We start from the raw sequence: 9,548 nt of genomic DNA, 5'->3' as shown, positions 1-9,548 counted from the left end.
ATGGAGACAAAAGTAGACGGTGGTTGCCTACAACAGGGGTAGGTGGAGGGACATGGAGGAAGGCTGCAGTCATGCCTAGGAGATGTGGGGTCACTTTTCAGGGTGACGAAAATGCTGTGAACATACTAATAGACACTGAGTTGTACATTTTAAATGGTTGAACTGTCTGATATGTGAATGACATCTCAGTGAATCTTTTTAAAATCCAAAGGCAGGATCAAGATAATTTTCTCAACTCTTAATTTTTGATGTACATGCTATATCAAATCTAAATATTTCTACAGTTTTACAGTATATTTTAAATAAAAGATAAAGAAAATGCCTAACTTTTCAAATAGTTTGTAAATTAACCTAAAACATGCACATTTCAAAGAATAGTATAATGGCCTTTCTGTACAAGTTAACCTAGAATCTGTGAAACAAATAGACACAGATTCTGTGTCCATTCACAAAAGTGAAGAAATAAGACAATTTTCTGGAACATTCCATGAAACATTCTCCTCTGATTTAATCTGGCTTGCCTCATCAGAGCAATACACAAATTACTTAAAAATACTGTTTAACAGGAAAAAAGTCAATTTTCTATGAGGAATGATGTATAATTCTCAACTTTTCCAAGGGTACATATTGTAAGAGAAAAGGTATGCAATGGTTTTTCAAAATGGTATAATGAAAGTCACAATATAAAAAAAAGTACATTATAAAGATAGTAAAATGGAAATCATTCATTATAATGAAAATAAAAAATCAAGCTTCTGCCAAAATTAGTATCCTAAAACACGTTATATAATTCAACTAGCTACAGAATAACTGTTGACATGTTAAATTCCATACATACTTGACTTTTCACTTGAAATAATTTCTTATTTGAGGCCTGTGTCTCATCCAAATTAATATGACAACGTGATATACCTTCCAGTGGAGACTCTAACGTCGTTAATTTTTTTACGCTGTCAGCCACTTCTTGTTGAAGTTGTCTCACAACCACCTGATAAAATATTTGTTACTGATTTTATAAACTGCCTTATTAAATTATGTTAATAATGTTTAATTCCAACATATCTACTTTGAAAATTATCACCACACATATCAATTCACCTTCTTTTAATCACATGTACACATTTTTATTTATTACTGAATTCAGTGAGGGATGCAGAATATGTTCTCTTCCTGCCAAATTGGTATTCTCTTACTTACACAACAGATTCATTCCAACATTCAATCATCTCAGAAGCTCAACTCAGCCTCAAAGTTCCTAACATATTCAATCACCTGTTCAAATCCTTCCAACAGATTCCTATCTCAGAATAAAAGTAAAATTCCAATGGCCTTTGAGGCCCTAGGTAAAAAGGCCTCTACCTCCCTCTCTGACTTCAAAGCTCCTACAACTCCCTCCTGTAATTACTCCATTCCCACTGTATGTGAAGCCTGCCACCCCTCAGTCTGAAAATGGAGATGTAGTGCCTAACTCGTAAATCACAGACAGCTACAAGTATCTTTGTACTGAACAAAATTATATTCCAATGACAGTCATTGAGCCTTGCAATAAAAATTATGAGCTAATTATTAATATAAATATTCAAAGTAAACTATAAATACCAGTGGGAAAACTAAACCAAATATAGTTTTGCTAAGTTTTACCACATTTATCCTAAATTATGATTTTATAACAAGTAGGTGCCTTTAAAACATTACATGGTCATAAAAACACGTAATTTGACATATTTTCAGATTTGTTAATATGAATAATAACAAAGCTATACCAACTAAAATACATAAAAAGCTAGTTAAAGCAAGGTATTACAAGACACAGCAATACACTTCAATTCATCTGGGGAATCTAGAATTAAGTGTCGAAGAAAATCACTTAATTAAATTTTAATTTGAAAATACTCACTTCAGGTGTAAACATTTCCATTTATAACTACATTATGGTCTTAACATGTGGCAACATAAAGACATTAAAATTACTATTTCAGCAATACAGAACTATCTACCTTAAAATATGACTCTGTGCCTAATAAAATTTCATAGGTGACACAATGTCTTTTCTCAAAGTAAATCATCTCTCACCTCTATCTTTTATTTCCTAGAAATGAGGCATGTTTCTAAGCCGATATAGTAAACACATTTTTCCTTTTTTTATTAAAACAGCTTTGTTGAAATATAATTTACATACTATAGAATGTATCTGTTTTAAGTTAAAAGATTTTTAGTACATTTACTGAGTTGTGCAGCCATCTCTACAATCCAACTTTAGAGCATTTCCATCACTGTAAGATTCCTCATGCCCATTAGCAGTCACTACCAGCTTCCAGCCCCAGCCCCTTGCAAACATGAATCTACTTTTTGTCCCTATACATTTATCTTTTCTGGATGCTTCATGTAAATGGAATTATACAGTATGGTAAACACACTTTTAATCTAGATTTTTATATTCAACTAAGTTCAACATGTATCCAGAACCAAATGTTTAAATTGTCTTTCTAGAAGTTTGAAAATATTTATCTTCCTTGATACTTACTACTCCTTCTGTTTTCTCTCTCTCATACTGAAAGAGACTTTCTTTTAAATGATCACATTCATTCATTAGCTTCTTACTTTTCTCTTCTAGCACGAGGTCTTTCTTTCCACTCTCAATAAAGCCTCTTTGGATATTAGTTACTATCTCTTTATGATCCTCTTTCTGATGAACGTCATCTAGTTGCTGTACAAGCCACGCATTTTCACGTTGGAGGTGACATATCCTCTCTTCTACACAGTTCCACTTTCCAGTGGAATTATTCACTTTAGCTTCTGCATTTTGATACATCTCTTTCATTTCCTGTGTTTGCTGCTGTGTTTGGCTTAGGTCGTTTTGTACAGTTTCTAAAGCCAATGACTTTTTTCTGAGACTATCTCTTGTCTTACGGAACTTATCTTTTAAGGCATTGAATTTAATTTGTGTTTCAGAAAGTTGTTCAGTAAGAAACTCATTCTCAGCTTTTACTTTGGAAATAGCAGAACTCATTTCTACTTGTACAGAAACATCTCGTGTTCTCTCTAAAGCAAGTTTTAGGTTTCTTTCTGTTTTCACACTTTCACTGTGTTTGCTTATAGCAGCAGCCAGTCTAGACTGATAAGATTCAATGTCAGCTTCCAGTCTTTTCTTGCTTTCTTTTTCCTTCAACAGTTCGGCATTGAGCCTTGTATTCTCAGCCTTGAGATCATTAAGCTCTTGTTGATACCGGAATGCTGTTTCTGTTATCATTTCCTCATTGAGTTTTATATACTTTTCAAGGGCAGCATTTGTTTCTTTAACAATTTTAATGTCCTTAAGATATTTATTTTCTTTTTCCAAGTTGTCATTTTTCATTGTACATATTTCCTGTCTGAGTATAGCAATATCTGCCTTCAAAATGCAATTTTCATCCATCAGACCTTTCATTTCTTCATGATTATGAAAATCCTAAATAAAACAAAAGAAAATTTTAGCTAGTACTCAATAAAATATCATGATTACCTCTGAAGTTAAAGAATAACCTGCACATCCGTACCACTAAAAAGTTTACCATAAGTGGATATCCACCTGGAGAAAAAGTTGAAGCAAAACTTTGAACCTTATAGAGCATAAATTCCAGAAAGTTCAGAAATGTATTTAGAGTCAATGAATTTATAAAAGTAAACACACACACACACACACCAGAGAATTTTTAAGAATATCAGAATTGGAAAAGCCTTTCCCTGAATTACAACAAACTCAAAAGCATAAATTAAAGCATTAACAAATTTGACTAAATTAAGATATATCAAAAAATTGCATTTACACTTTGATACCTAACCCATACACCACCCTATAGTAAGAACTTTTGTTCACACATATTTGGACAGATAAAATTTCCCAGAGTTATTACAGTTCTGTTTCACTGATAACATTCTATTTCAGTTTGACTCTTTTAACACTTTTATAGTCAGTTATAAGAATTACATTCACTAAATCATAAACTAGACATTATACTAGTCACTCCTATATACATTCATTGATGAACTCATCTAGTTACCATAATTTTGAAAAAGAAATGTTAAAAATATAAGCAAGCTACAGGATTTTCCCCAGGACTTCTGACTCTACTTCTAGTTCTCCAACAGATCACAGTTACTTCTGTGGTGTAAATACATCAATACGAAAGAAAACTTTTATTTCAAAACGCCAATAGTAAATAAGATAAAATTTATAGAGCTCTTCTTAGAATATCATGAGATTATTTGCGATTGCAATAATTTCTGTTTCCTCTTTATAATATTAGGTGCAGTAATCAATATGAAATAGGGGAAAGTACAAGGAAAAATTTTACCTGGAACAAAATTTTTATCAATAGGTTATCACTAAGTATAAATTATGGCATATTATTGTTTTCAAAAGCTCTTTGTAATAAAATAATATCCTATGTGGATGCCAAGATTTATAATAAATATTAATAATTGTACCTGTAAGTGTCATCATTCATTTTTAAAAATGAGATAACATTTATGGTTTTAGACCTAAACAATATATATTAAATCAAGTGGATATTATAAGTAACAGTGATAAGATAAAGTTTAAAATATAGAATTTTTACCAAAGATTGATTTACCCAATTTGGAGTATTTCTTGCAGTCTTTGATTTCATCTCTAGTGACTGAACAGTTGGTTCAAGTTGTTTTGCTTCAACTTCTTTCTTATATTGTTTCTCTTTCCTTTCTAATTCTTCTCTATTTTTTTTGTACAGCATATTAACATTTGTTTTTTCTTCATTTTCTTGTTTTAAGGTGCATCTGCAGATAAAGACATTTGTCTTAAAATTCATTTTGTTAAAAAATAAGGAGTTCATCCTGTTACCTACCTCTGCAGATGTTGTTTATTATCCTAATAAAATTTCTATGTTCTGGATTATTTTTCCTTTGCAGTTCTCAGATATTTAATTTCTCACTTCAACATCTTCAAATGAATGCATATACTTGAAAAGTAGTAAGGAAAGAATATTCTGCTAAAGTTTTTGTTACTAGTCACTCTAATATATATTATAAAAAAGGATACCAGAGATAATTCAGTAAAGTTACAGGTTCAAAATTACCTTTTTAAATCACACAGTCATAATTACTCCCTAATTAGAAAAGATCATTTACAATCAACTAAATTTTTAAAGTTACTATTTATTGACAAGCGTATAAGTTCACTAGAAATAAATTTTCATCTTTATGAAATATTGCAGGTGTTTCTCCAAATGATTTACAGAGTGAGATGACACCTTCAGATGTCTCTCACACAAACTATATCTGCAGATGACTGTCATCCAAAACTAGGCTAAAAAGTCTAACATCTGTTTCCCCACACTTTTTATATTTCTTTCTTAATACTTTCAATTCACCTTATTACATATATTTTATATATTCATTAACCTATTGTTCATTATGTGTAATATATAATTAATGCATGTTAATTATATATTAATAAGTGTGTGTATGTTTACACCAGTTATGTTTTCCTGTGAAATCTAGTCCCAGAAGTGGAGTTGTTGAGTTAAAGGGATGTCAGGCTATTTGAAATTTTGATACACAGCACTAAGTTACCCTTCAGAAATAATTTACTAATTTCCTATACCAACAGTGTATGAGAATGCCTTTTTCCTCACATTTGCCAACACTAATAATTACTTTTTAAATATCAGCATGACTTTACAAAATATATCTTATTTTATGTTAATTTGCTTTTTTCTGATTACCAGGCAGGGCTAAATACCCCTGGTAAAAATATAAAACTTGTTAATCATAAGGAATATTAGTCCAATTTTCAATTAGTTTATAGCACAATGACAATTATCTCCTGTGAAATACTGCTATAGGCGGCCAGGCACGGTGGCTCACTCCTGTAAACCCAGCACTTTGGGAGGCCGAGGTGGGCAGAACACGTGAAGTCAGGAGTTCGAGACGAGCTTGGCTAACATGGTGAAATCCTATTTTTACTAAAAATACAAAAAATTAGCCGGGCATGGTGGCACATGCCTGTAATCCCAGCTACTAGGGAGACTGAGTCAGAAGAATCGCTTGAACCCAGGAGGCAGAGGTTGCAGTGAGCTGAGATCACACCATTGAACTCCAGCTTGGGCAACAAGAGAGAAACTCCATCTCAAAAAAACAAAAACAAACAAAAAAAACCCAAAACCAAACAAACAAAAAAAAAAACACTGCTATAGGCTTACCTATCATGCTCTTCCTTCAGCTTCTTGGGAAATTGCTGAGGATACGTTTTCCCAATCTTTCTTTGTTGGGTTAATCTGCCAGCAGCAGCAGAAGATGTACTATCACATATATTTTCTGAAAGTTGTATTTTTTCACTTTTGTTTGTATTATTTCCTTCTTTGACCTTTAATAAAAGATGAATAATAATTGTTATTATTTTATTCAATAAAAAGAACTTTTTCCCTGATTTTTTTTACTTGATTCAGGTTAACTATCACCACTTTAATGATAAAAGTATTTTGTGCTTACTTTAATTTTATCATTATACATAATTATTATAATTATAAGATACTCTTATTTTATCATCGAAATTTTTGTCAAATCTGCTCATTTCTGTTTGAGGGAATAGAAGAATTTTCCAAAATTTCAAAAAGGGCTCTTCTCCATTTTGTGCTTTTATTCCCATCCACTCTTTGCTATCTGGTATAAATTTTTATGCTATCTGGCTGGCAGAAACAGAGAAATAAAAAGACACAGGCATAATATATGTCTTCTGTCTTTACTACCTGGATTTTACATGAAATAGCCAGATTAAGAGGATGTGACCTTGTAGGCCTTCGGGAACAGTAAAGAAGTTTTCCCTTTTCTGTACTGAGCTACTCTTTTCCCCACTGCCTTTTATCTCTCTTTTTTTTTTTTTGAATCCTGTGATATCAAAAAAGTAAAGGTTCTCTTTGAATTATGGGAACCAACGTTTGCCACAACAAAAGAAGCAGAGTGAAACTGCTGAGTTTCTAGTGCAGAATTCTGGAAAATGAGATGCTTCCCAGATTTCACATTCAATTACCACAAAAGTTTATAGGTGGAAAACATATGGTACAGTTACCTACTTTAACCCCATTATCTACTGATAATGGGAGTCAAACCAACCAAGACATATTAAATGTTTCATCCAGAGCTCTTGAGGTGGCATTCACTAGCATTTCATGGCACCATATAACATGATACAATTCCATATTGCTGAATTACATAAATTACCAGATAAATTTATCAAATTAGATATATTAAAAGTCTAACTTGAGCAAAGCAATTTAATGCCTCAGAGGGTGGAAAAAGGCCTCATCTGCTTTTACTTTGAAAGAAGAAAATCTCTAGATTTTTGTCTATCTTTAGAACACAATGTACAGAACTCAACTTTCTACTAAAGAGTCAAAGGCTAAATTTTTGGCTAAGAAATTATGCTTCTTATATGATAAAAATCATACATGCCAAAACTCACCATACTTTATTAAACAACATAACGTAAGGTCTGATTCAACAGAAATATTGCAGAGTGGTGATTTTTTAAAATATGTGTAAGTATATGTTTTCAAAAATATTGGAAATAACCATGATGGGACTGTAAGTTCAAACAGTTTGAGCTAAGCAGATAAACTTGCATGCATGAAAACACATTAAACAGACTCATTTGGCTGGGAATATTCGTTGCAACTCTCAAGGCTAGACGTGTTTTTGTGGCTTGTCTCAGTCATTGCTTCCCTCCCATTGTATTCCCATTCTATCATTAAATAAATGTAAATTATCTCTAAATGAATACAAGAAAAAAGAATCTAGAATCTAGAGCTTGTTTCTTTAGCAATTTCTTTATGTTGATCTGGTTCAGAAGGTCACATGGTATGTGGCTTAATTAGTTTCCCAGCTCATACGCCACTTGGAAGACTGATAGTGAGACATAGGTTGATTAATGAACAAACATTATGAGAACATTCTCCAGAACCATTATTTAGATAGCAGAACTAATCTACTTTGACACATAATTACACATTTAGATAACCCCACTGTAACTGTACACATGACATTTTCTTGAACAGAAAATTTGACTAAATCAAATAATTGATAAAGAGGAAAAAGAAGCAGCAAGTGAACCTCTGTCTTTTTGAAGTTGGACTTGCTTTTCTCCAAAGCCAGGAACTCAACTTGTAACATGCCTACCTCATTCTTTTTTTAATTATTATTATACTTTAAGTTCTGGTACATGTGCACAACATGCAGGTTTGTTACATATCTATTCATGTGCCATGTTGGTGACCTTGGAATATCTTCCCATAAGTCTTCTAGCTATATTTTTGATGTTCTCTCACTATGTGGCAAAGAATAACTCACATTTTATAATTCAAGATTCATGCTTCTGTAGTTGTTAGCACTGGGATTGCCATATAGTGGCTGCTGGAATAAACGCTGTATTGGTTTTCTGTTTTTATAAGTATCTGTAGCAGCAGAAATACTGTGGCTTTCTATCTGAATCATATGCTTCATTTCTTTGGGGTGGGTAAACAACAAATCAAAAAGACTTTCTGGATCTCTAGACTGAGGCCAATGCCTAATGTCCAATTTCCAATTAGTGGTATCTGGGTTTACATTTTTTGCCATTTGCATGTCAAACTCTTAATCATCTTTCATTTCAATCATAATTACTGGGTTCCTTAATTTTTTGGTTTCAGTATCATTACAAAAATTTTCATCATCTGTGTTAGAAACAAGCTATGTGTCTGGTTTGCTATCATTTTTATAGTCTGATTTATTTTCATTTAAATGAAGCTTAGAAGATGACTGGTAACTGTATTTCAGGGACCTGGAGTATGAATGGAATAAAAAGACATTTGACATGGGCTTCCTCTGTTCAGGCGCTGCCTGGAATGCCACAGAGTTAGACCCTCCAGATGCATCTTCCTCCTCACAATCAGGGACCTGATTCATCAGATTAGAGGGCACTCCTTTTTTGTTCGTCCCTCTTTAGAGTTACTATGTAGGAGCTCTTCCTCAGGGCAAGCAGTAATTCTGGAGTTTTCAAAACTTTCACCAATATTCAGCTTGAACTTGTTTGTAATGAATTTTAAAGAAAGTCGTGAATATACAGACAGATTATTCCCTTTATCACAATTCTTACCCAGTTCTGGTTCTTGAGACTTTTTTTTTTTTTGGCAGGTGCAAAATGGAAAACAAATTTGCTTGTTTTGTTTCTCAGATGCCTTTTCTGTCAGAGTGCATGTTTTAAAATTAGCTTTAATCAAGTATAAACAACAATACTAGAAAATAATTAAAATTTAACTGTGAAACTTAATCTATGTGTTGCCACCCTTAAATTATGGGATTGTAACTAAAAAGTGAAAAATAATTTGCCTTGGCTTAACATAGGACAGAAATATGAACTGGCAAGCTGAACGCTTAGCATTTGTTTCGATTAAACTTAATGCATTATGTGTAAAATCTACCAGAAATGAATTCAAAGCTGATAGGTAGTATTATAAAATCTTCCTCTCTTACAAAGATTTTACCTCAGCATACCAGAA

The 9,548-nt window shown here is 32.4% G+C and overlaps 1 protein-coding gene across 1 annotated transcript in view; it reads right to left on the bottom strand.

Annotated features, from left to right (window-relative positions):
* Nucleotides 1-1,546: 1,546 nt before the first annotated feature.
* ANKRD20A1 (ankyrin repeat domain 20 family member A1) overlaps nucleotides 1,547-9,548 on the bottom strand; it is a 43,464-nt gene continuing 35,462 nt past the window's right edge. The window contains exons 13-15 of the mRNA NM_032250.5: nucleotides 6,219-6,382; nucleotides 4,614-4,794; nucleotides 1,547-3,448 (exon numbers count right to left, since the gene is read on the bottom strand). Coding sequence (NP_115626.2) covers nucleotides 2,474-3,448; nucleotides 4,614-4,794; nucleotides 6,219-6,382 — 1,320 coding nt within the window. The 3' untranslated portion in view covers nucleotides 1,547-2,473. The remainder of the gene's footprint in view (nucleotides 3,449-4,613; nucleotides 4,795-6,218; nucleotides 6,383-9,548) is intronic.

Source organism: Homo sapiens, chromosome 9, assembly GCF_000001405.40.
Source record: "Homo sapiens chromosome 9, GRCh38.p14 Primary Assembly".
Classification (NCBI taxonomy): domain Eukaryota; kingdom Metazoa; phylum Chordata; class Mammalia; order Primates; family Hominidae; genus Homo; species Homo sapiens.
The sequence above is the reverse complement of the archived record's forward strand: the minus strand, read 5'-3'. Positions and strand labels throughout refer to the sequence as shown.